This window comes from Homo sapiens, chromosome 4 (genome assembly GCF_000001405.40).
Source record: "Homo sapiens chromosome 4, GRCh38.p14 Primary Assembly".
Taxonomy (NCBI): domain Eukaryota; kingdom Metazoa; phylum Chordata; class Mammalia; order Primates; family Hominidae; genus Homo; species Homo sapiens.
Window position 1 is genome coordinate 137,707,205 of NC_000004.12, and position 27,753 is coordinate 137,734,957.

The 27,753-nt window shown below is 35.7% G+C and overlaps 1 long non-coding RNA gene across 1 annotated transcript, besides 2 other annotated features; it reads right to left on the minus strand.

The window, feature by feature from the left end:
- LOC105377444 (uncharacterized) lies at nucleotides 1-27,753 on the minus strand. The gene is made up of 2 exons (XR_939236.1): nucleotides 27,716-27,753; nucleotides 1-152 (listed from the first exon to the last, which is right to left on the minus strand). It is a non-coding gene; the product is annotated as an uncharacterized LOC105377444 (long non-coding RNA).
- Nucleotides 3,417-4,048: an enhancer, noted in NCBI's record as "H3K27ac hESC enhancer chr4:138631775-138632406 (GRCh37/hg19 assembly coordinates)". NCBI's record gives its function as "activates a minimal SCP1, AML or CMV promoter by ChIP-STARR-seq in naive H9 embryonic stem cells {active_cell/tissue: H9 hESC(naive)}" and the evidence as "EXISTENCE:reporter gene assay evidence [ECO:0000049][PMID:30033119]".
- Nucleotides 4,049-4,678: an enhancer, noted in NCBI's record as "OCT4-H3K27ac hESC enhancer chr4:138632407-138633036 (GRCh37/hg19 assembly coordinates)". NCBI's record gives its function as "activates a minimal SCP1, AML or CMV promoter by ChIP-STARR-seq in naive H9 embryonic stem cells {active_cell/tissue: H9 hESC(naive)}" and the evidence as "EXISTENCE:reporter gene assay evidence [ECO:0000049][PMID:30033119]".

The following is a 27,753-nucleotide window of genomic DNA, read 5'->3' on the forward strand; positions in this document are numbered from 1 at the left end:
TCACAATCCATAAAGAGAATTTTTAATACATGGCAGTCCCTTTAGAGTTAATGAGTTGTCTGACTCTTAGGATGATGGCTTCCATCTGGATCAGCTCTTGGCAAGTTGATAGCCAGGCATTTAACTGGATCTTTAAAACTTGATTCTGTCAGCTAATGACAACAACAAAAAAAGATAGTATGCAATTATTTCAATCAATCAATCAACAAGGATTTTTGTGCACACATCATTTTGTCATTATTGTGCTAGATATAATGGAAGTTTGCAAAAATAAAGGATATGTATGACATATATCAGTCTTAAAAAGTATGTAAATTAGGCTTGAAGAGGTAAAAACAATACACATGAAATAATTAGCCAAGTTAACAGCATATTCTTAAAGAGTGATTTATAGAGATGGGTGAAGATGCTGTAGAATATTGGAGAAGATAAGATGAATAAATGTCAGAAAGATCAGAGGCACTTTCAGTGGTGCAAAATCTGGAAGGATACATAAGATTAAATGAGTAAAGGGGGAAGAAACTGTTTTCTCCTTAAATGAATGGATGGAACTGCATAAAATAAACATAGGAAACAAAGGGCAGTAAGTACAAATTTGGGCGGAGAATGTGAGATGAATCACCAGACCAATACAAATGGATGTGTCAGGGAGCAAAGCAAGGTACAAACTGACAACACGCAGAATGGATATAAAGAGACTTGAAAACAAAGCAGAATTTGAGTCTGGTGTCAAAAGTAACTGGGAGTCTGTGGTAATTTTTAATTGATATATAAGATTTTACATATTTATGGGGTATATGCTATAATTTGTTACTTCCATAGAATGTGTAATAATCAAATCAGGGTATTTGGGGTACCCATCACCTTTGGTATTTATTATTTCTATGTTGGAAACATTTCAAGTTCTCTCTTCTAGCTACTTTAAAATATACAATACATTGTTGCAAACTCTAATTTTCTTACACTGCCATCAAACATTAGAATTTATGCCTTCTAAATTACTGTACGTTTGTACCTATTGACCGCATCTCTTCATCCCCTCTCCCATCTACACACCCTTCCCAGCCCATGATAACTATTATTCTACACTCTACCTCTATGAGATCAATTTTTTTAGCTCCCACATATGAGTGAAAACATGCAAAATTCATCTTTCAGTGTCTGACTTATTTCACTTCACATGAACTCCGGTTCCATCCATGTTGCTGCAAAGGACATAATTATAATATTTTTATGGACAAATAGTATTCCACTGGGTATATATGAGAATGCAGGTATCACTTTGATATACCGATTTCTTTTCCTTTGGATAAATAGCCAGTAGTGAGATTGCTGGATTGTACAGTAGTTCTATTTTTAGTGTTTTGAAAAATCTCCATATTGTTTTTTTTCAAATTAGCTATACTAATTTAGATTCCCACCAACAGTGTATAAGAGTTCTCTTTTCTATTCATACTACCAGCATATTTTGTTTGTTGTCTTTTCAATAATAGCTGTTCTAATGAGATTAAGATGGTACCCTATTGTGGTTCTGATTTGCATTTCTCTGATGACTAGTGATGTTGAGCATTTTTCATATGCTTATTAACCATTTGTATGTCTTCTCTTAAAAATATCTATTCATATCCTTTGCCCACTTTTTAATGAGATTATTTGTGGTTTTTTTCTTTTACTTTTGAGTTGTTCCTTTTATATTCTGCATATGAATCCCCTGTTTGATGAATAGTTTTCAAATATTTTCTCCTATTCAACAGGTAATTTGCCTCTTCACTCTTAATTATTTCCTGTTGCAATTATTGCTGTGCAGGAGATTTTTTAGTTTAATATAGTCTTATTTCTCCATTTTTATTTTTGTTGTCTGTGTTTTTGATGTCTTAGCAATTAAGTCTTTGCCTAGACTGATGTCCAGAAGCATTTCCCCTTTGTTTTCTTGTAGTAATTTTATAGCTTTGGGTCTTATGTTCCAGTCTTTATTCCATCTTGATTTGACTTTTGTATGTGGTGATATGGGTCCAGTTTCATTCTTCTGCATATGGGTATTCAATTTTCCCAGTGCCATTTATTCAAGAGGGCATTTTTCCCCAATGTGTGTTTTTGGTACATTTGTAGAAATCAGTTGGCTGTAAATATGTGGATTTATTTCTGGATTCTCTATTCTGTTATTCTGTTCCATTGTTCTCTGTGTTTGTTTTTATAGCAATACCATGCTGGGTTATTTGTTTGTATTTTAGTTTTTTTTAACTATGGCCTCATAATAGATTTTAAAATAAATTCAAGTAGTGTGATGCCTTTAGCTTTGTTCTTATTGCTCAGGACTTCTTTGGCTACGAAAGCTCTTTAGTAGTTCCATGAAAATTTAAGATTATTTTTCTGTTTCTATGAAAAATGACATTGATATTTTGATAAGAATCGTATTGAATCTGGCTGTTGTTTTGGGTAGTATGGTCATTTTAATGCTATTAAATCATGTGATCCATGATCACGGTTATGTCCTTCCATTTGTTTGTGTCCCCTTCATTTCTTTCATCAGAGTTTTGTAGTTTTCCTTGTAGAGGAAAACTTTCACCTCTTTGGTTAAACTTATTTCCAGTTTTTTTTTTTTGGAGCTATTGCAAATGGAATTGCCTTCTTGATTTCTTTCCCAGCTATTTTGTTATTGGTGTATAGAAATGCTATCAATTTTTACATGCTGATATTTTATCCTGTATCTTTACTGCATTTATTAATCTTATATAAGTGTTTTTTGGCAGAGTCTTTAGGTTTTTCTACATGTATTATCTCATCATCAGCAAAGAAGTACAATTTGATTTCTTATTTTCCAAATTATATGCCTTTTATTTCTTTCCTTTGTTTGATTGCTGTGGCTAGGACTTCCAGTACCATGTTAAATAGGAGTGGTGATAGTAAGCATCTTTGTCCTGTTCCAGTTCTTAGGGGAGGCTTTCATCTTTTTCCTATTCAGTATATGGCTTTGTCACATATTATGGGCTTTATTATGATGAGATACATTCTTTCTGTAAGTAGGTTGTTGAGAGTTTTTATCATGATGAGATGTTGAACTTTATCAATTGCTTTTTCTGTGTCTATTGAGATGATAATTTGATTTTTGTCGTTCATTCTGTTCACATGATGTATCATGTTTATTGATTTGCATATGTTGAATCATTCTTGCATTTGTGGGATAAACTATATTTGATCATATATTTTTTAATGTGCTGTTGAATTTGGTTCACTAGTATTTCATTGAAAATATTTGCATTTATATTTATTAGAGATATTGTCCTGTAGTTTTATTTTTTGTTGTGCCCTTGTTTGGTTTTGGTATCAGGGTACTGCTTGCCTAGTAATATGAGTTAGGAAGAATTCCCTCCTCTTCAATTTTTTAAGAATAGCTTATGAAGAATTGGTAGTAGTTCTTCTTTGGAAATACGGGGGAATTTTTTGAATTTGCTTTCACAGGGAGGACTTTTTTCCTAAGATCTGTGTATGTGTTGGTTGGGTAGGGCTCTTTGGCTTTGATTTTGTGTGTGTGCAGTAGTGTAGTTTCTGTATGATTTCTTTGGCTATAAACAGTGCCAGTAGTGTTTGTGCTTTCCTCGATTTCTTAGGGTGCAGTTGTGAGTGAAAGTGTTATGAAGTTTTGCTGAGGACTGGGATGCCAGATGGGCCAGGCTTTGGACCTTAATAGGGACAGCTGTGGCAGACGCTGGCACGGGTATTAGTGGGTAAAATGGGGCTGATTCTTGGGCATCCAGGTGGCTTCTTCATGTACTGGGAATGGCAGCAATGGGCCAGGTAGGTGAGCAGGTTCTTGAGCCCCTGGGCAGTGGGTGTGACATGGGTGATAGCAATAGCAGTGGTGGGACAATCTGCTGGGACCCAAGCTTTTGTGCTTGTGTTGGTGTTGGCTACAGTGGGCTTGGTAGGCCAGTCCCAGACCCACAGATGGCATGGATGGGTGCCACTTCTCGTGGCAGCAACATGTTTAGTGGGCCTGACCTCAGATCTCACAAGAAGTGCTCAGGTGCCAACAGTGGTTTATTGGGTTGGGCAATCCTCAGGCCCCTGAACTGAGTGCTCAGGTAATGGGGTGAGAGTGTCACCGAGCCAGTCAGACCTACCCTCTGGCCTCCCAGTTATGTATACCATCACTGGCTGTGGTAGGCAGGGGCAGGGCGATCCCCAGACCACCTGCAAAATGCTCATATGAGGGCTGCTGTGATTGCATTGTGACTCTGCTACAGTGGAGGATGGGGTTGCTTTCAATGGGAGCAGCCATATACAGGCAGCCAGGGGCATGAGCTTCACTTCCACCTCAGTTCCATAGCAGCCCACTATGGCAGCAGTTGCAGGTAGGTGCATTTGTCCTCAGGGCATTTGCATATGCATGGCTGCCCCTCTGCTGAGCAGTGCAGGGTCAATGCTCATGGTTCCTGCAGTGGCCCTCATGGCAGCAGCTGTGAGGAAGGAATGTTACTAAAGCTCCAGAGATATTGAGATGCAGAAGCTATTGATCTGCATGACAGGACACAGTCTTGTGGAGGCTGGGCTCTCAAAATGGCACCATGCTGCAGCTGCTCGAGAGTAAGGTGTTTGTAGAAACCAGCATGACCTCTGTCTCTGGATCAATTCCATTGCACGGTCTCCAGGCAGCTCTCTATGTTAGTCTTAGAGCCTGCAAGTGCTGAGAAGCTCTCTTATAACTAGGACTGTAGGAGTTTGTGGGCAGGAATGCGGACCACTGTGGGTGTCTCACTTATCGTGTCCCAAAATTAAGGAACTTCTTCAGATTCCCAGCTGATCCTGGTCTGGAGTCAGTAGTAAGTTTAATTCAGGAGGTAATATGACAAAAATTTTAACCTGACAGAAGATTCAGATGAAATGAAGAGGAGAAGAAAGGCAATTAAGAAGGTCATAGTAATTTTAATAAAAAATATATACATTATTATTATTTAGAATTTTATAAATAAACGTTTTTTGGTATCAATCTTGTTGTGGTATAAGAAGTCCATTGATTATTGACTTGATGTCAGAGACCATTATGTGCTTATTTGCAGCATTAGGATGACAGTGGTTCCACCAGAGCTCAAGGGATGGTGATAAAAGCATTAGTCCAAAGAAACACTAGTATGGTAGAAAATGAGAAAGGTGGGGCCACAGCCATATTTAGATCACCGTTAATTTCACTGCTGCTCTTAAGTGAGGCTTGTGTGAAGTTTTCTTCTGTGTGCTTTTGTTTTTGTTTTTTGGTAAACTATTTTCCAACACCAAAAGTGAGAAAACAGTTGCTGTTTTCTCCATCTGCTCACTAAATTCTTCCTAGCTTTTCCCCATTCTATGACAACACAGCAGATCTCTTTATGAAGATATCACATGCAATTATTTCTATCAATTTCATTGATTTTTTATGTGGGCCCATATTAATGAGATATATCACTAGTTTGAAAACCTGCTTGGTAGAATATTCAGATTCATTGTTTTGATTATTTCTGCCCCTTTGCTCCTTTGAATGTTCCTGCCCAGTTATGACAGTAAGAAGTGGTCACTAAAATGAAATTCTATAGAGATTCCTTGTATTGTTATTAAGGGGCTATATTAAAATAAATGTTTTTGAGTGTGGCTGATTGTTCTTTTATAGCATGCACATTTATGACCACCTTGGGAACCAGTAGCACTGCAACATATGTTTACAGGGTCTTAAAAGCTTTCAGAAGGCCAGAATGACAGTGATTCAATGAAAGTCCATTATCAACATTTCAGAGCTTGTCATGTTGCCTTAATGAGAAAAGAATGATTAATTTTACTTCCCTTTTTCCTCAATAGATGAAATGAGGAATCAGACATCCAAATGATTAGCTCATGTATACTTACATGTAGTGGTGACATACAAACTTATTTATATAAAAGAATGGCAATTACTTCATTGGTATGTGTTATGAATGTATATTGATATAGGCTTATTACTTCAACTCAAAAGTAAATGAATATTCTACTAAAAATTAGTATCTGAATACATCAAGGGAGAATATATTAACAATATGTATTAAAATGATACAAGGGACAGAATATAAATATGGGAGTGAAGGTATCTTGTTGCCAATAGTCACTATCATTAAATATGCATATTTTGGAAAATTATTTAACTTCCTAGAACAATGTAATTCTCAACTGTCAACAGGTGTGATTAGAATAGGTCAACATGTTAAAATTATGTTACAACAATTAAATAATTATGCTGAATATAAATATTTATTAAGGAACAAATACAACTACTTGTTGTATTTGACAACTATTATGTTAGTTGTCAATCTGTTTTTTTAATAAAAAAATAAAAAGATTTCTTTACTGCAGAAATTCCCAGTGAGTTTGATATATTTAGATACTTCAATAAGTATTTGTTTATTGTGAATACCAAATAGGGTGGTTTTTTTTTTAATTATTTATTTATTATTATTTTTTTTTTTTTTTTGAGACAGAATCTTGTTCTGTCGCCCAGGCTGGAGTGCAGTGGCGTGATCTCAGCTCATTGCAACCTCCACCTCCTGGGTTCAAGAGATTCTCCTGCCTCAGCCTCCTGAGTAGCTGGAATTGCAGGCTAATTTTTGTATTTTTAGTAGAGAAAGGGTTTCAGCATGTTGGCCAGGCTGGTCTAGACCTCCTGACCTCAGGTGTTCTCCCCACCTCAGCCTCCCAAAGTGCTGGGATTACAGGTGTGAGCCACTATGACTGGCCAGGGTGGTTTTTACATGGGGTATAACATCAATATAACTTCACAGGCTTATTTGATTATTCTACAATGTGTAACTTGTTATGGTGCACACTCTAGAAAATATCTAGACCATACTCTTACATTTTACATTTAAATAATACTGTAAAATCTTTAGTACTATCTTTTCTCTGCCCGATAAAGAAGGCTTTCAAGTGATATGCCTTTCTCAAGGGGATCTGTCTAGTCTCTGAGTATTTCAAAGTATTTTTTTCCAGCAAGTTATGAGTGAAGATCTGGTGGACTAATCAAAGCTTAATGTATTTAAACAGCAACAAAAATAAAATAAAATGAAACAAAAAAATCAGAATTTTAAAGTAAGAGTATTATATTGTTTATCATAATAATACCACATTAAGAGCCTCTAATAATGATTTTGAGAATATTCTTTATATTACTTTAATTTGACTTTAGTTTCTCCTTTTATTGACAAGTTAATTTTTGTACTTCTTATTTTTTTGTATTTCTTGTTAACTTGATTTCAATGTTCTGTGATTAAAACTGGCCTTAGGGTTCAATATTAGTGTTTTACAGTGGATAGCCAGTCAGACATGAACAGGGCAGGAGAAGGTCCCCAGAGCCCACAAGGAAAGTCAGGTGACCATCAGATAATGGTCAGGAAGTTGTCACACTGCCTTTCTAAAATAGTAATTGGTTGTAGCCAACATCAGAGAAAGGCAGTCTCCCATTAAATAGAAAAAAACCAGAAACTGGTGATCTCAGGGGGTGGGTGAGTGGGCTCACACATGTGCACTAAGAGGTCAAATGGTGTACTTTAACTGGCATATGACCTTTCAGGGTCATTCCACAGGGAAAGGGAAGAACGCCTCAGGTGAGCATGCATACATCTCCAGTAAACACACTGCACATGCTCCCCTCCCAAGCATTAGCAGGCCATTGTAAATGCAAACAACCCATCCCAAGGGAAGAATCGGGGAGAAGGGATGCAAGATTCCAAAAGTAGGCCAACATGTAAAACCCGAAGTCCAAGGTCAAACAGGGCACTTGACCTCCAAGATGCCCTCGTGGCCTTCTTCCAAGCGTACTTTACTTTCTTTCCATTCCTGCTCTAAAACCTTTCAATAAATTTCCACTCCTGCTCTAAAACTTGCCTTGATCTCTTTTTCTGCCTTATGCCCCTCAGTCAAAATCTTTCTTCTAAGGAGGCAAGAACTGAGGTTGCTGCAGACCCATATGGATATGCCTCCAGTAACTTGAATAACTTCCACTGCTAACAAGTGAGCATCTAATTCTACAACTTTAGGTGACACACTCACAGATACCTTCCCTGTCCCAACAGATTAGGTAAGGCCCTCTGCTTATATGATCCTATATCACCCTCATTGGTCATCACGTACAAATACATACACACATGAAGTGTATGTATGTGTGTTTGTGATCACTTGGTTAATTTTGGTTATGTGATTAATTTATCCTGCTTACCCTGTTCTCAGATTATAAACCGAATGAGGGCAAACTTTAGTCTGCTTGACTCAATTCTACTTTTGTGAGGTCTAGCACCACGCCTTACCCATAGTAATTGCTAAACAAACAAAAGTTGAATGCTGAATTTCAAAGACACTTAGGTAATAGACTTCAATACATACAAATTCGCACTTAGAAAGAATTGCTCAAATTTAGCATACAGATAGAAGCTATCTGTCTCTTATTTTAATGAATAAATTTAGTTTAAAAATGTTGACCTTTATGCAAATAAAGTTGTTCCTTCAAAAATAATGTTTTAAAAAGTAATTAACCATTCTTACCTTAGATGAGAAATAAGTATATGAGAAGAGTATGGAATTAGAGAGACTAGGGACAGGAGGCAGGAAGCAGGAAAATGATAAATAATGGATATTTATCTTTAAATAAATTCTACCACCAATTTTTTGTGTCTGAATCTGGCTCTGGATTCATAATTCTCTAACAATTATCTATTTTTAAAAACCTGAAATATATTTTCTTGTTATTTTAAAAGTGGGCAACGTCATCATTAATTTTAATGACAGTATGTTTTCTAAGAGCAGCTAAGTCACTTTCTTGATGATGGCAAATCAATAGGAAATGGGAAGTCAACTAAGGTCTCAGAACACCTTCATGCAATTAGTGAGGATTCTGCCCAGATTCATTATAAAACAAATGGCCAAAATATACACAGAAAAAATGTATCCTCATCTGTATAGAACATAGTTTGTTTTAAAAGTGTAACCATTTTCATTAAATGAAACAAAAAATATAAGATAATTATGTAGAAAACCTTACCTCAAAGCAGTATAAATGTTGAGCTGTTAAATGTATATTGTGAATCTGAAATTATAGTTCCCACAGTGACCATAACCCAGCTGTCAGGTAAATATGTAGGAGTTTGTGATATTTTATACAATGCAATGCTGTGTGCCATAGAACAAAATAATGTTGCTTACCAGTGGCTTTCAGAGTTATTTTAGTTTGCAAGTTTAAAGTTTATACCACCATTGTCTGAAATAATTTGTTTTTAATAATAAATTCAGTTATATTTTGTTGTATGAAAATAATTTTTTGCCATTAAACTGCCCAATGAGAAGGATAAGACAAACAAGTAGAATAGGTCATAAGTTCCTACTAACTTTTTATTGAAATTAATATTTTATTACTCTCTAGCTTACTGCCAAAACAAAACCCAAGTTTAATTTCATACCGTGCACCTATAATGTGCAAGCAATTGTGTTACTTACTATAGGAAATGAAAAGATGAATACATGACAAATGTGGCTGTCTTAGGAACTAATGCTCTGGGAATTATAATCAAGTAGCCAAATAAAATGGTTACACGTCTAAAACAAGGGAGCCTTAGGTAAGGGTGTTAAGAGAGCTGTAAAGGAAGCCATGATCACATCTACTTAGGGGCTCAGAAAAAGCTAGATTTAGAGGGTAGGTTGATCTGAGTATATAGGGATTAGTGAAATTTCATCTAAGTGCTTAATAGATACATTACTTCACTCTAGCACTGCAGCAACATGTGCGTAGATCTGGAAAACAGTGTTTAATAATGGAGCGGGTCTTGTCAGGAGTGTTTGTGTATCACTCTGGCTTCTATGGAATAAGATTTTAACAGGTTTCTAGGAAAAAATGTGAAACAATTTTGTGTAGGGGTGAATATGCAATATGGATAGAATTGACAGTACACTATAATTTTTTGTTTGTGTGTAGATAATACACATATACACATATATGATATATGTGAGTATTATGTTTATGTACATGTATGTTTATATGAGATACAACATATATCTATATAGTTTGTGTTATATATTTTGAACATAATATATTTTTGTATAGGAATATATGATTGAAATTACTTTTGTAGGTCAAAACATATTTAAAGCTTAATTTAACTTCAATATTTCTTTAAAAATCTGCTTTATAAAACAAATTATTGTAAAAAAAACTCTTTCCCACAGAAACATTATTAAAATTAGAGGCTGATGCCAATATTTTATACAAAGATATTTGTATAAAATATCTATATAAAAAGCTAGATATTTAAAGAAAAAAAAGGATGTTTTTATAAAATTGAAGGTAATGAATGATGTCCTAGGTTCCAGAACATTGGTATGAGTGTGTTCCTTTATAAAGAATCTCAACTTACAAGAAGAAGAGTGACTATAAAAGTCTACTGAAGGAACATGCTCTCAAGAGAGTAAAACTGAAGCACTGTATACTGGATGGCTTACACAACAGATGTTTATTCTCACAATTCTGGAGCCCGGGTAGTCCAAGATTAAGGTGCTGGCCTACTAGGGTCTTCCTGTTGAAGGCTCGCTTCCTGGCTTTCAGAGGCCTACCTTTTGGCTCACGTGACAGAGCAGGATTTCTCTCTTTCTCTTCAAATAAAGCCATGACTTTCTCCATGAGTGCCCTACCCTCATAACTTCAGCTAACCCTAAACTTCACAAAGGCTTCATCACCAAATACCATCATATTGGAGGTTAGGCTTTGTGTTAGGCCATTCTTGAGTTGCTATAAAGAAATATCTGAGACTGGGTAATTTATAAACCAAAGAGGTTTAATTGGATCACAATTCCGCAGATTTTACAGGAAGCATGGTGCTAGCATCCGCTCAGCTTCTGGGGAGGCCTCAGGAAGCTTACAATCATGCCAGAAGTTGAAGGAGAAGCAGGCACCTTACATGGAAGGAGTAGGAGCAAGAGAAAGAGTCCAGCGGGTAGTGGGAAGTGCCCCACACTTTTAAATGACTAGATCTTATGAGAACTCACTGTCACAAAGATGGCACCCAGCAATGAAGGATCTGCCTCTGTCATCCAGACACCTACCACCAGGCCTCACCTCCAGCACTGGAGATTATAATTCAACATGAGATTTGGGTAGGGACAAATATCCAAACTGTATTAGGCTTCACATATAAATTTTGGGGAGTCTACAACTCAGTCCACAGCAGAGGTAAAGGTAGATTTTTTCTTCAAGTATCAGGACCTTTCCTAAAATATCTGGAGTGTTAAAAACTTAAAAAGGTTCACCTTATAAGAAAACTTGGGTAACCAAAGACAAAATTAAAGTATTTTTTTCTAGAGTCTAGAACAATAGCTATGATGACTACTCTTAACTATCTATTGGCCTTAATGTATCAAAATGTGACTAGGAAGTTCATTTTTAGCTGCTCTGCCCTGATATGCAAAATCTGTATATTTAACATTTTAAAAATTGTATCTCCAGTTGATTGCTGCAGGCAATTTAGATTAGCTTGTATCAAACTAAACCTCCAGCTGAGATTAGCTATGAAAGCTAGCTTTTTTTTTTTTTTTTTTTAAGTGAGGGCATTGGAAAACAACAAAGGCATCCAGGAAGGAAAGAACTTGAGGGATCAGTATCCCTGGGAAAAAAGAAATCAAAGAGAAATGAGTCTAACTTTCTGCATGCAAATATCTCTCTAGGCATTGGCCAAACGCTGTGTATGTGGAGGACAAGAGCATAAAAGCAAGAAGAAATCACTTACTAAGAGGCTAAAGAAGCTAAATAGAGTTGTCGTTGATCTTTTTTTTTTTTTTTTAATAATTGCATACTCCTAGACAGACAACACCTGAAATTCAGGGCTCAACAACAAAAAAGGGATTTTGTAAACATCACCAGTTCTCAGTGAGATACTTGACATTTCTATGGCTAAGGCATAATTCACTTAGAGACTTTGAAAATGTTTTCTGTGTTCTATTTCCTACATATATGTATATCTAGAACATTAGAGCACCAGCAGTTCTATTCATATTACACTAAGAGTAATTTTTAAACTGTTTTCTAACAATTTAACCATGAGAACTCTGTTCACAAATGTCTCACTTCTCCATTAACACATTCAAGAAAAACTCATACTTAACATAATTTATCACAACCACGTATATGTTGCTGTTAGAGTTTTCAAAATAGTATGATTTGAGTACCAAAAATATGTCAAAATACTTTAAATAATTGATCAAACCTTTATTTGACAAATATTCATGGCTGCCATATTTTTCAAAAGACTTCTAGACAGATTTTGTCTATATGAATTCAGCAATTACAACTTTTGCAAATGTAAGTGTTTGAATCTTTAAACTAATGGCAAAATAATAACTTTTAGTTACTTTTCAAACATGTATTCTGAAAAGAGCAATTTATCAATGGTGACACAGTGGTTGTTTAGTTCTTTTAATAAAAAGTAGATTTTTAAAGAATATTAGCAACTATTTCCTTGGATCCTAATATTATGACTAGATTCATGCTAACATAAACTCTTCTTTAGACAATATAAAATGTCTAATTGTAGCACTAGAATCTAGTAGATATGATATGGTTTGGATTTGTGTCCTCACCCAAATCTCATGTCGAATTATAATCCCCAGTGTTGAAGGAGGGGCCTGGTGGGAGGTGATTGGATCATGGGAGTGGATTTCCCACTTGCTGTTCTCATTATAGTGAGTGAGTGCTCTTGAGATCTGGTTGTTTAACAGTGTATAGCACCTCACCCCTCTCTCTTTTCCTCCTTCTTAGGCCATGTAAAATGTGCCTGCTTCCCCTAGACATGCATACCTTCTGTCATGATTGTAAGTTTCCTAAAGCCTCCCCAGTCATGCTTCCTATGCAGCCTGTGGAACCGTGAGCCAACTAAACCTCTCTCCTTTATAAATTACCCAGTCTGAAGTAGTTCTTTATAGCAATAAAAGAATGAACTAATACAAGATATCAGGCAATTTTTGTTCTATTATTTACCTGTATAAATGCTTATTAAATATCTATAACACAAAAAAATGCTTGGCATTATGAAGATACAAAATAATACTTGATGACCCTCTTCTTCCAGCATGATTTACTGGTGTAAAATTTGTTCTCAAAATGACTCCAGAGATTTTTTAAAAGCTATAATAAAACAGGACAAGAAGCTACTGTATAAGTTGTTTATATTAAATCCTCACAAAACGCTTGTGAGATAGGTATTTTGCATGCCAATTTGAAAAAAAAAATGTGTATCCTGAGACTTTATAGTAACAAAAACATTCACAAAGCGATTTGGTTGGAACACACTTAACCATAACAACCATACTACCTGACAAAGTAAATACAATAATAGCAAAAATAAGATAATGATTTTATAAGGGTGGATATTTCTATTTGGTGCCTATTGGATTTCTGCTAATACATTCAAGATTATTTGAATCTTCACTTCCATAATCAACCACACTCAGACAACCCAGGTTACACAAATCTTAGCAAAGATCTGATCATCTTGAAAAAGCAGAAGAACAGCTGGCCTGTCTTCATGACTGTCACCATGTACGTGGATGCATTCAACAATGTACTTATTAATTTAAACGAGAGAAACCTTCACTTAAATTAGAGTAACCCAGGAATATTATATGTGAGATATTATTGTAATTCATAGCAAAACACACGCATCATTGTGAAATTGAGTGAGTCTTAATGCCAGATTTGAGCTCTAAGTTCAAGTGTTTAATCAGTGATTATTTTCTTATTCTTATAATAAAATTAAAACTATGTAGAACAAAAGTTTCACTGCTTCATTTTAGCAAGTCACAATGCAGAATCATAGGCATAACCCAGCGTTGCATGAGAACATCCCTCCTTTTCAAAATCAAATGGTCTGTGACTCTTTTTGGAGGGTGAGAGACACAGTCACCAAGAGTAAGCTGCCTAACACACATTTATTGTACCATTTATTGACATTTTAAAATGAATTAGTTCAGGTGTAATGACTCCCACTTAAAAATAATCTCTATGCTATAGAGAAATTTTCAGTAACAAGTTATATCTGCCTTTTGTATTCTTGTTAGAATCTTCAAATATGTATTCAAACTGTTTAGTGGTGATTTTTTTTAAGTTGCTTTCTCTGTCTAGAAAAATCCTCTCCTAAGGGTTTCAAAAACATAAAGATAGTAGAAATAAGAAACAGAAAATTACCGAAAATGAATAAATTGGAACCAGAGTAAATTTTGGCAAGCATTTGACCACAAAGGTCTTGACAGATAGAAAGTTCACTATATTTGACATTTAAACAAGCAGTCAATATTTAAAGAGAAGATATTTTCCTTGTTTTTGAGAAATTGATTTCAAGAGAAAATAAATTGTTAAGAACTCCAGCTACCTGAAGTTCAAATCTATGTGCATTTCAAAGCCTTCTCAAGGAACACAGGTATCAGTTACCCTCATATAGATTAAAAAGTGTAACTACAGTAGAAATGAAAAATAATTATCTTTACTTTCAGGTCCAATGTAAATGTGAAAAAGTTTTGTTCTTATGGATAACTCTCAGAAGGTAACTAATGCCAACATTGTGAATTATTGTAGAATATATCTAGGTATGAGCAAAACAAAATGAACAAAATAAAAAACGTTGATTCTTTTCTCACTAATAAAATAATCATTGACATGTGTGCAGTCTTTGATATGGCTTATTGATAAGAAGCTATTATGTATATAATATTCTCCTTAAGAAAATTTTCTTGTCTAGATTTTATAGCAAAAGGAAAAACATTTTCTACTTTGTGATCCTAACACTCAAGATGCATGTTATTTTCAAGGTAGCCCTAAAAGAATCAGTAAAGATCAATTCAGAGAATTTTTTTTCCTCGACTACCTGAGTAACTTTTTGAGCTTCTAGGATTTCCAAATGATTTAAATAATGAAGACTTAATCTCTAAGTTCTTTATGCACTTTAAAAATCACATTTTTTATAGTACAGTTGCTACACCTGTGCATAATCAGGTTTTTCAGTTTCCTTTTTAGAAGTTCTCCCTACCTTTCCTTAAATATGCAAGTTCACCAGGTGTTTGGAATGTCGTAGCAGAGTTATGAAATCTTAATGGTGCTTTTCCCCTCTGTCCTTTTGAACTAACTTCATCTGTGCTATAACAGACTTGTGGGTAGTCTGTTATAGCATTTGTCAGGTTCACAGTAAACTAAAATGTCATTCATTTACTTCAAACATCTCTATATTTGAGCAAAAAGAAATGAAAAGACATAATTGTCCCTCAGCCACATGGTTTTAATTTTCATCTTAAAAAAAAAAAGGAACTGTAGTCTGTTTGCTGTATTTTTTTCCCCCCATCATTGGGTCTCTCTGATTTTCCTTTTTATGTTCAGTAGGGACTTTTTTTTAAAGCATTTTAACAAGCAACAGATTTAAAACGTATTTAATTTTTTTAATTATACTTCAAGTTCTAGGGTACATGTGCACAATGTGCAGAAAAAGAAACATATTTAAAAATATATCAAGTTCATAAACCAAAATTGGAGTGAACTTTTTAAAAGTTGTCCTAAAAAGGAAAGTAACATTATCTATAAGGAATAGCCTTTTTTTGTTCAGATACCAATTTCCCTGTATCCCTTAGTCGACCAGCTAGAAATTTCCATTAAAGAAGATGAATGTTACAGATAAGAAAGAACATGATCTACAGATTTGTGCCAGTAATGGGAAAGAGAGATGAGATAAAAGGTGATTTAATGATACCTGAGCGTTAATCTGTGTAAATTATAAAAATATCTATGGTGAAGATACAATTAATAGAGAACTGAAGGAGAACATGATACCAGTAGTTACATTCTTTGTCACTGTTTAGTAGGAGTTTTGAATATTTACTCATTCCTTCCTTTATAAATCTCTGTTTAAAATATGCATCATCACATAAAAATATTTGTAAAGAAGTAAGGGGATCTGGGGAAGGTAGGCAATGGTAGTTTACAGAAGGAAACCATGAAGAATAGATAAGTGTAGTGATACAGGAAGGTTTTGAAAAATCTTTCAGAGGGATTATGAGAAGCAAGGAGTCAAAATATTTATTCCAAAAAGATTTTCTGAGCATCTGACAAGGTATGGTGTATATCGAGTATATGAAGGGATCCAAGTAAAAGTCTCAATCCTAACTATCAAGGAGCTTCTAACCCATTTGAGGTATAAGATAACAATAGCTTCAGAAAGCCCTAATGATATGGGTAAATCTCCCCAATAAAATATTGAATGAGAGAAGCCAGATACAAAAAAATGACTTAGATAGCAGTGGTTTAATTAACATAAAAGCTTAAAATAGGCAAAACCAATCTTTCTTTTAGAAAGTTGGAAGAGTGGATGCCCTTGGTGGAGGTTGTTATAGAAGATGGCACAAGAGGGGCCCTGGGGTATTAGCTGTATTCTGTTTCTTGATCTGGGTATTGGGTTCAGAGTTATGTGCATTTTGAGAGAATTAATCAAGGTATACATTTATTATGTGCTCGGAGATTTTTGTTCTGTATATTACATTTTTAAAAATGTATTGAGAAGAACCAAAATTAGTTTGGGATTAAGCATCTCATTTAAAGGAAATTTTTAAAAGAACATTTTGAGCAAATTGTTAAAGTGCTAAATGGTGAGGAAAGGCTGAAAGTTATTTTTGGTTGAAAAAGTAGGGAATTATTTCCTTAGAGGCAGGATATATGCAAGAAACTTGAGTAATAAAAACTATAATAATTATAATAATGACAGTAACAAAAATGACTATTATCATTTTTACTATTAGTTGGACACATCTAAGCAGTTTACCTCAATGAATTTAACCCTTACAATTATACTCTGCTCTAGGTATTATATTTATCTACATTTTAAAAATGCAAAAATTGAGATCCAGAGTGAAGTAACTTACCTTGGTAAAATAGGGTGGAATAAATAACCATATATATTTAACAGAATAAACATAGATCCTGTGAAACTATACAAGGTAGGATAAAAACCTGGAATAGTCAGGAGGCTATGTTCATACTTAAGTAAGCATATCTTGAGATATGCTCTGATATATCTCAGCTATATCACGAGACACTGAATAACTGTGTGGAAAACGGCTTCAAATTGTGCCTCCGGAGGCTGGAGGCTGGCTTTCCCATCATCCATTGGGTGAGATTTGTCCTGGTGAGCTAGAAAGTCTTCAGCTAGTAAAGACAAAGGAAAATGCTTAATGTGGGAAGCTTTGAGGGTGTGAGGGGCTGTGCACAGCATCCTGTTAACTCAAGTGGACTAACTATTAGGGTGGACTTTCAAGAGTGTCTGCTACGGTACCTCCCAACAATCCAGAGAGATCTCAGCACACGTATTCTGTCCAATAGCATCATCCTTTCCTGGCTTGAAAAGCCCAGGAGATTGAAAGTAACTTCAGCCTGACCTGTTTCACCCAAATACTACTTAGGTCCTGCTCCTCCTTCCAAAATGCATCCCCCCAAATCACTCAAGTTTCAACCATTTCTTATCCTTATGAAAAACAATGAAATACAAAACAAAACAAAGCTTTGTAAACTCTCCTTTATGAGATGTTATTTGAAACTCTGTTCTCAGTATTTCTTTCCCCTGCCAGGCAACAATATGAATAAATTCAGCTTGTTTATTTGACACAGATTTTCCAGGTGATATTTGTGGCAGAGTGAATGAGCCCAGGCCTCCCTTTCTCTCTCTCTGAAATATATTCCATTCTTTAAATGTGCTTTTTTCTTTTTCATTTGACCAACTGTAATTGTTGCAATTACTGTCTAACTGTTATTGCCACTAACAATTCTCCTATAATCTCCTTATTCTTGTGTACTTACCAGTTGGATTCCTAATATTTTATTATTCCTGTGTACAAATTCTTCATTTTAAATAATGTTACCTTTTTATAATGCATTTGGCCCAAGTATACTTAGTTTATTGTTTGCTTTTTAATTTTTTCTTTACTATTTGATATAGAAAATTATTACTTTAATTTTGTTTTAGCTATCAATATGTCCTTTTGTTGTTTTGTTATGTCTAAATTTTTTTCTAAAATTTAGAAAGTTCTCTTTTCTTTTCTTGGCATATATGTAGTTTATTGTAGATTTTCACAATTTTGTCAGTTTTTCATCAAACTTTTTACTATCTTTGATTTATAAAAATTGTATGGAATACTTAAATGCATTCTATCTTAAAAAATAGGTAGGTATAGTCAGTTAAATGTTCAATTCTCCAGTACAACTATCCTTAATGTTTCTCAAATATTACTATTATCATAGGCAATCACAAAATTTTGATGTTTATTGTTTTCTAACATGTTATGAAATAATAGACATACAGAGTTCTGCTTTTGGTTTATTTACCATAAATAAGCTTATATCTTACATATTGTTCTGTCATTAGTTTTCTTACTTACAAAAATACTTTGAAACTTATTCTGTGTCAATATACAGAAATCTACCTTGTTTTTTGACTTTCTGCAATTGTACAGATGCACTATAATTTATTTAACCCCATACTGATGATGGAAACCTAGTTTCTTATAATTATTTTTACATTTATCAATAATTAAATTTTTATGTATATTTCCGTAGAACATAAATTTTGTAGGGTAGATGTTTAGAAATGGAATTGCTAGGTCAACATATTTGAACATGTGTAATTAAGTTTACTACATACTGCTAAATTGTTCACTAAAAGGGTGGCTGGTATTATAAAATGTTATAACAATTTATAATATTAGCAATGCAGAAGCATGTTTACTTCTTATGATTAATTTGTTAATATCTGGGTGAGAAAAAATTGGCATCTCAATGTTGCTTTATTTAAATTTCCCTGAATAATTATGTTAGGTTATACTTTAGCAAATGTAGTGGCTTGTGTCATTTTTTACTCTGAGAGTAAGCTGTTTATCTTTTTAAAAAATGTTAATTGATTTGTAGAAGACTTTTCAACATTGAATATCATAGCACATATAATAGAGAATTATTTATGTAGCCACATGAATTATCTTTTCTGAAATTTTTGCATTTTGTATTTACGTAGAAAGCCTTCATGCAAAACTCTCTTTCTAAATTATATTTCTCTGATCAAATATGTTTGGATATGTCCTTTAATATATATATATATTTATGTATATTAAACCATACAGATAATTCTAAATGAACTGAAGGTAATTGTGAATCCATCTGGAATATTCTAAACAGTTTGAATAACTAATAGGACATTAATTGAATAACTTACAGTTTTCCTACTGGTTTGCAATTATACTTTTTTTTTTGAGACAGAGTTTTGATGGAGAGCAATGGCACGGTCTGGGCTCACTGCAACCTCTGCCTCCCGGGTTCAAGTGATTCTCTTGCCTCAGCCTCCCGAGTAGCTGGGATTACAGGCATGTGCCACCATGCCTGGCTAATTTTTTGTATTTTTATTAGAGATGGGGTTTCTCCATGTTTTTCAGGCTGGTCTCGAACTCCCGACCTCAGGTGATCCACCTGCCTCGGCCTTCCAAAATGCTGAGATTACAGGCGTGAGCCACTGCACCTGGCCTGCAGTTCTACTATTAACATTAAGTAAAATATCAGACATAGAGAAGTTGGTTTATAGGATTTTATTCTAGGTTCCTTTGTTTATTACAATTATTTGCACTTTAAATTCCTATATATAATTTCACAAAAATCTCTATTTAATTTTTAAATTTAATTATGAGTACAAAATAGTTGTATATACTTATTGGGGATATGCATGATGCTGGCATACATTGTGTAATGATCAAATCAGGGTAACTGGAGTATCCATCACCTCCAGCTTTTATCATTTCTTTGTTTTAGGACTATTCCAATTCTACTCTTTTAGTTATTTTAAAATATACAATAAATTATTGTTAATTACAGTTACCCTATTGTGCTACTGAATACTTGATATTCATTCTATCTAACTCTATTTTGCACCCATTAGTACAAGAGTACCCATTGTACTCCTTATCCCTCACCCTTCCCTATTACACTTCCCAGACTCTGGTAACCATCATTCTACTCTCTGTCTCCAAGAACTCATTTTTTTTTATATAACTCCCACATATAAGGGAGAATACAAAATATTTGTCTTTCTGTCTCTGGGTTATTTTACTTAAAATAATATCCTTCAGTTTCATCCATGGTGTTGCAAAAGACAAGGTTTCATTTTTTATGGCTGAATAATATTCCATTGTATGTATGTACCACATTTTCTTTATCTATTGATGAACACTTAGGTTGCTTTCATATCTTGGCTATTGTGAATAGTGCTGCAATAAACATAAGAGTGCAGATATCTCTTTGACATTCTGTTTCCTTTCTTTTGGATATATACCCAGTGATGGGATTAATGGATAATATGTTAGTTCTATTTTAAGTTTTTTGGGGAATATCTATACTGTTCTCCATGGTGGTTGTACTAATTTACATTTCTACCAACAATGTAGGAGTCTGTCTCCATATCCTTGCTAGCATTCATTATTATCTTTTTGACAAAAGCCATTTTAGTTGGAATGAGATATCTCTTTGTCGTTTTGATTTGTTCCTATGATGATTAGTGATGTTGAGAATTTTTTTAAATACCTGTTGGCTATTTGTATATCTTCTTTTGATAAATGTCTATTTAGATCTTTTATTCGTTTTTAAATTGAATTATTTGGTTTTTTTCCTATTTAGTTGTTTGTGTGCTTTATATATTCTAGTTATTAATCCCTTGTCAGATAAGTAATTTGCAAATATTTTCTCCCATTCTGGAGGTTGTCGCCTCACTTTATTAATTGCTTCCTTTGCTGTACAGAAGCATTTCCACATAATGTGATCCCATTTGTCCATTTTTGCTTTGGCTGCCTGTGCTTTTGGGGTCTTACTCAGGAAATATTTGCCCAGATCAAAGTCCTGGATTGTTTCCCCAAAATTTTCTACTGGTAATTTTATAGTTTTCAGTCTTAAATTTTTAATCAATTTTGATTTGATTTTCATACACAGGGAGAGATAGGAATCTAGTTTCATTCTTCTGCATATGGGTATCCAGTTTTCCCAGCATCATTTACTGAAGACATTGTTCTTTTCCCAGTGTATGTTCTTGGCAGCTTTGTTGAAAATGAGCTGATTATAAATCAATCTTGTCCAACCTGTGGCCTGAGAGCTACATGTGGCCCAGGACAGCTTTGAATGCAGCCCAACACAAATTCATAAACTTTCTTAAAACATTATGAGATTTTTTTTTTTTTTTTAGCTAATCAGCTATCATTAATGTTAGTGTATTTTATGTGTGCAGCCCAAGGCAATTCTTCTTCTTCCAATGTGGCCTGGGGAAGCTGAAAGATTAGACACCTCTGCAATGCATGAATTTATTTCTGGGTTCTCTATTCTGTTCCATTGGCCTATGTGTCTGTGTTTAGGCCAGGAGCATACTGTTTTGGTTACTATAGCTTTTGTACTATAATTTATAATAAGGTTATGTCATGCTTCCAGTTTTGTTCCTTTTGCACAGTATGTCTTTGGCTACTCTTGGTCTTTGTAGTTCCATATAAATTTTAGGATTGTTTTTTATATTTCTATGAAGAATGTCACCAGTATTTTGACAGGGATTGAAATCAATGTGTAGATTGCATTGGGTAATATTGACATCTTAACAATGTTGATTCTCCCAACCCAGAATATGGAATACCTGGAATTCCAATGGAATACCTTTCCATTTTTTTGTGTGCCCTCTTCAATTTTTTTCATCACTGTTTTATAGTTTTTATGGTAGAGATCTTTCAGATTCACTTTGGTTAAATTTACTCTTAGGTATTAATTTTATTTGTAGCCATTGTAAATGAGATTACTTTCTTGGTTCCCTTTTTAGATTGTTTGCTATTGGCATATAAAAATGCTACTGATTTTTGTATGTTGATTTTGTAACCTGAAATCCTACTGAATTCACTTATCAGTTCTAATGGTTTTTTTGTGGAATCTTAAGGTTTTTATAAATATGAGAACATATTGCCTGCAAACAAGGATAATTTGATTTCTTCCCTTCCAACCTGGATGCCCTTTATTCTACTCTCTTGTCAAATTGCTCTGGCTAGGACTTCCAGCACTAAGTTGAATAAAAGCAGTGAAAGTGGGCTTCTTTGTCTTGTTCCAGATCTTAGAGGAAATGTTTTCCTATTTTTCCCATTCAGCTGTGGGTTGGTCATATTTGGCTTTTATTGTGTTGAGGTATGTTTCTTCTACACTCAGTCCTTTGAGAATTTTTGTCATGAAGAGATATTGAATTCTATCAAATACTTTTTGGCACCAATTGAAATGATCATACAGTTTTTGTCTTTCATTTTGTTGATATGATGTATCCCATTTATTGATGGGTGTGTGTTGAACCATCCTTGTGTTCCTGAAATGAATCCCACTTGATCACAAATGATCTTTTTAGTGTTGTTAAATTTGGTTTGCTAGTATTTTGTTGAGGATTTTTGCATCTGTTTTCATCAGAGATACTGTCCTGTATTTTTCTTTTAAGCTGTGTCTTCTACTGGTTTTGGTATCAAGGTAATACTGACCTCAGAATTAGTTTGGATATATTCTCTCCTGTATTTTTGGAATAGTTTGAGTAAGATTAGTATTAGTTCTTTCTTAAATGTTTCATCAAATTCAGCAGTAAAGTAATCAGTTCCTGGGTGTTTCTTTGATGGGAGGCATTTAATTACTGCTTCTATCTCATTACAATCTTGGTAGGTTGTATGTGTCGAGTTTTTCTATTTCTTCTAAGTTTTCCAACTTATTTGCAAAATGTTGATTATAATAGTCTCTAATAATCTTTTGAATTTCTGAGGTGTTAATTATAATGGCTTTTTTTCATCTCGGATTTTATTGATCTGAGTGGCCTATCTATTTTGATCTGGCTAAAGCTTTGTTCATTTTGTTTATTTTTTTCAAAAACTCAACATTTTATTTCATTTACATTTTGAGTTTTTAAGCCTCATTCACAATTACTTCTGCTCTGATCTTTATTATTACTTTTTATTCTCTATTTTTGGTTGGTTTGCTTTTCTAGTTCATTGAGATATATTATTAGGTTGTTTATTTGAACTTTTTCAACTTTATTGATATAGGCAGTTAGTGCTATAAAATTCCCTCTTAACAGTGCTTTTGCTGTATCCCATAGGTTTGACATGTTGTGTTTACATTTTCACTCCTTTCAGGAAGTCTTTAGTTTTCTTCCTCTTCTTCTGTCTCTCTCTTTTTTTTTTTTTTTTTAAATGGGATAGGGAACAGGGTTTCACTCCCATCATCCAGGCTGGATTGTAATGGCACGATCTCAGCTCAAAGCAACCTCTGCCTCCCAGGCTCAAATGATTCTCATGCCTCAGCCTCCTCAGCCTCCTGAAATCCGTATTGTTTAATTTCCATGTGTTTGTATAATTTCCAAAGCTTTTCTTGTTATTGATTTTTAGTTTTGCTCCATTGTGGTTAGAAAAGATACTCAGTATAATTTTAATTATCTGAATTATTTAAGACACATTTTTGGACCTAACATGGTCTATAATTAAGAATATTCCATGTGCTGAGAAGAAGAATGTGTATTCTGCAGCCATTGGATAAAATGCTCTGTAAATATTTATGAGGTTCATTTCGTCCATACTGCAGATAGAGTCAGATTTTTTGTTGATTTTCTGTCTGGATGATCTGCCCAATGCTGAAAGTGAGGTGTTGAAGTTCCTAGCCATGATTATATTGGGGTCTATTTCTCTCTTTAGGTGTAATAATATTTCCTTTATATATTTGAGTGCTAACGTGTTGAGTGCATATATATTTACAATTATTATACCCTCTCACTGAATTGATTGCTTTATCATTCCATAATGACCCTGTCTCTTTTTACAATTTTTATCTTGGAATCTATTTTATTTGATATAAGTATAGCTATGCCTGCTCTTTTTTGGTTTCTATTTTCATAAAACATCTTTTTCCATCCTTCTACTTTTAGTCTTCTTTTGTTTTAACCTATAAAGATGAAATAAATTTCTTGTAAACAGCATATAGGCAAGTCTTGTTTTTTTATTCATTTGGCCACTTTACATCTTCTGGTTTGAGAATTTAGTCCATTTACATTCAATGCCATTATTGATAGATAAAATTTATTACTGTCATTTTATTTGTTTTCTGGTTGTTTCATTGTTTCTCGTTGTCTTCCGTCCTTTTTCTTGCTTCCTTTATTTCTTCTTTCCTTCCTTCTTGCCTCCTTTCTTTCCTTCCTTCCTGTCTTCCTTTTTATAGAAGTGATTTTCTGTGAGAGTATGTTTTAATTTCTTCCTTTCTGTGTATTGTGTATCTGTTACAGGTTTTTGTTTTGTGGTTGCCATGAGGCTTGCAAAAAATATATTATAACAAATTACTTCAAACAGATGATAACTTAACTCTGATTATAAAGAAAGGAAAACAAGCAAAGAAGCAAAGAGAACACTAAAAAAAGTCTACTCTTTAATTCCATTCACCCTTCTTTTTGACGTTTGATCGTTTCTATATGTATCTTTTCATACTCTCTATATCTTAAAAAGTTGTAATTATTATTTTTGATAGGTTTGCCTTTTATTTATTTACTTTTTTTACTAAAGATATAAGTGGTTTGTTTACACACCACAATTACAGTGTTAGGATAGTCTGTCTTTTTTGTATACTTACTACTACCAGGGAGATTTCTATATTCAGATGATTTCTTTTTGTTAATTAGCATCATTTTCTTTCTGATTGAAGAACTCCCTTTAGCATTTTTTATAAGACAGGTCTGGTGTTGAAATCCCTCAGCTTTTATTTGTCTGGGAAAGCCTATTTCTCCTTCATGTTTTAAGGATCATTTTGCTGGACATAATGTTCTAGGTTGGATTTTATTTCCCCTGCACTCTTAATATGTCATCCCACTCTCTCTTCACCTGTAAAGTTTCCACTGATAAGACTACTACCAGACATATGGGAGCTCTTCTATATGGCATTTCCTTATTTTCTTTTAAAGCTTTTAGTGTCCATTCTTTATCCTTGACCTTTGACGGTTTTATTATTTTATGGCTTGAGGTGGTTTTATCTCGGTTGAACCTGCTTGATGTTCTATAAACTTACAGGACACAAATATTCATCTCTCTCTCTAGGCTTGGAAAGTTCTCTGTTATTATTTCTTTGAATAAATTTTCTACTTTGATCTCTCTCTCACTCTCTCCAATTTCTATAAAGCCAATCACTCTTAGATTTTCCCCTTTGAGGCTTTTTTTCTAGATCTTGTAGTTGTGTGTCTTTATTTTTTTTTCTTTTCTGTCTGTGTATTTTCATATAGCCTGTCTTCAAGTTTGCTATTTCTTTATGCTTAGTCAATTCTGCTTTTAGGAGACTGATGTATTTTTCAGTTTGTCAATTGAATTTTTAGTTCCAGAATTTCTGCTTGATTTTTAAAAATTATTATTCCAGTCTTTTTGTTGTGTTTCTCTGATAGAATTCTAAATTCTCTGTGTTATTTTCAAGTTCACTGACCTTCCTATAGACAGCTATTTTGAATTCTCTGTCTGAAAGGTCACATATCTCTAACACTCTAAGATTGGTCACTGGTGCTTTTATTTGGAGATGTCATGTTTCCTTTCAAATTCTTTTTTGTTTTGTTTTTTGAAACGGAATCTCACTCTGTCGCCCAGGCTGGAGTGCAGTGGCGTGATCTCGGCTCACTGCAAGCTCCGCCTCCTGGGTTCACGCCATTCTCCTGCCTCAGCCTCGCGAGTAGCTGGGACTACAGGTGCCCGCCACCACGCCCGGCTAATTTTTTTTGTATTTTTAGTAGAGATGGGGTTTCACCGTGTTAGCCAGGATGGTCTCCATCTCCTGACCTCGTGATCCGCCCGTCTCGGCCTCCCAAAGTGCTGGGATTACAGGCGTGAGCCACCGCGCCCGGCCTCCTTTCATATTCTTAATGCTTGTGGACATTTGTCAAGGTCTAGGCATTGAAGAGATAGGTATTTATTTTGATCTTGAGAGTCTGGGCTTGTTTGTACTGGTCCTTGAAAAGGCTTTCCATGTGTTTAGAAGGGGTTGAGTGCTGTGATCTAAGCCCGTGGTCATTGCATCCATATCAGCACTAGGGGGCTCCCTAAGCTCAGGAATGCTGCACCCTTAAGGGACTCCTAGAGGGAGCGGCAGGCTTGAGTAAGATAAGAAAGAAAATTCGTGAAGCCTTCCGTATTTTTTGGAAACCATCATCCTCAGCAAACTAACACAGGAACAGAAAACCAAACATCGCATGTTCTCACTCATAAGTGGGAGTTGAACAATGAGAACACATGGACACAGGGAGGTGAACATTATGAGAGCTGCTGGCAGTCCTCACAGCCCTCGCTCGCTCTCGGCGCCTCCTCTGCCTGGGCTCCCACTTTGGCGGCACTTGAGGAGCCCTTCAGCCCGCCGATGCACAGTGGGAGCCCCTTTCTGGGCTGGCCAAGGCCGGAGCCCACTCCCTTAGCTTGCAGGAAGGTGTGAAGGGAGAGGCGCCAGCGGGAGCCAGGGCTGCGCGCGGCGCTTGCCGGCCAGCTGGAGTTCTGGGTGGGCGTGAGCTTGGCGGCCCCGCACTCGAAGCAGCTGGTCCGCCCTGCAGGCCCTGGGCAATAAGGGGCTTAGCATCCGGGCCAGCGGCTGCGGAGGGTGTACTGGGTCTCCCAGCAGTGCCAGCCCGCCGGCGCTGCGCTCGATTTCTCACCGGGCCTTAGCTGCCTTCCCGTGGGGCAGGGCTCCGGACCTGCAGCCCGCCATGCCTAAGCCTCCCACCCCCTCCATGGGCTCCTATGCGGCGGGAGCCTCCCCAACCAGTGCCACCCCCTGCTCCACGGCACCGAGTCCCATTGACCACCCGAGGGCTGAGAAGTGCCGGTGCACGGCACAGGACTGGCAGGCAGCTCCACCTGCGGCCCCAGTGCGGGATCCACTAGGTGAAGCCAGCTGGGCTCCTGAGTCTGGTGGGGACGTGGAGAACCTTTATGTCTAGCTCAGGGATTGTAAATACACCAATCGGCACTCTATATCTAGCTCAAGGTTTGTAAACCCACCAATCAGCACCCTGTGTCTAGCTCAGGGTTTGTGAGTGCACCAATCGACACTCTGTATCTAGCTACTCTGGTGGGGCCTTGGAGAACCTTTGTGTCCATACTCTGTATCTAACTAATCTGGTGGGGATGTGGAGAACCTTTGTGTCTAGCTCAGGGATTGTAAACGCACCAATCAGCGCCCTGTCAAAACAGACCACGCGGCTCTACCAATCAGCAGGACATGGGTGGGGCCAGATAAGAGAATAAAAGCAGGCTGCCGGAGCCAGCAGTGGCAACCCGCTTGGGTCCCCTTCCACCCTGTGGAAGCTTTGTTCTTTCGCTCTTTGCAATAAATCTTGCTACTGCTCACTCTTTGACTCCACACTGCTTTCATGAGCTGTAACACTCACTGCGAAGATCTGCAGCTTCACTCCTGAAGCTAGAGAGCCCACAAGCCCACCGGGAGGAATGAACAACTCCAGATGCACTACCTTAAGAGCTCTAACACTCACCGCCAAGGTCTGCAACTTCACTCCTGAGCCAACGAGACCACGAACCCACCAGAAGGAAGAAACTCCAAACACATCTGAACATCAGAAGGAACAAACTCCAGGTGCGTCACCTTAAGAGCTGTAACACTCACCACGAGGATCCACGGCTTCATTCTTGAAGTCGGTGAGA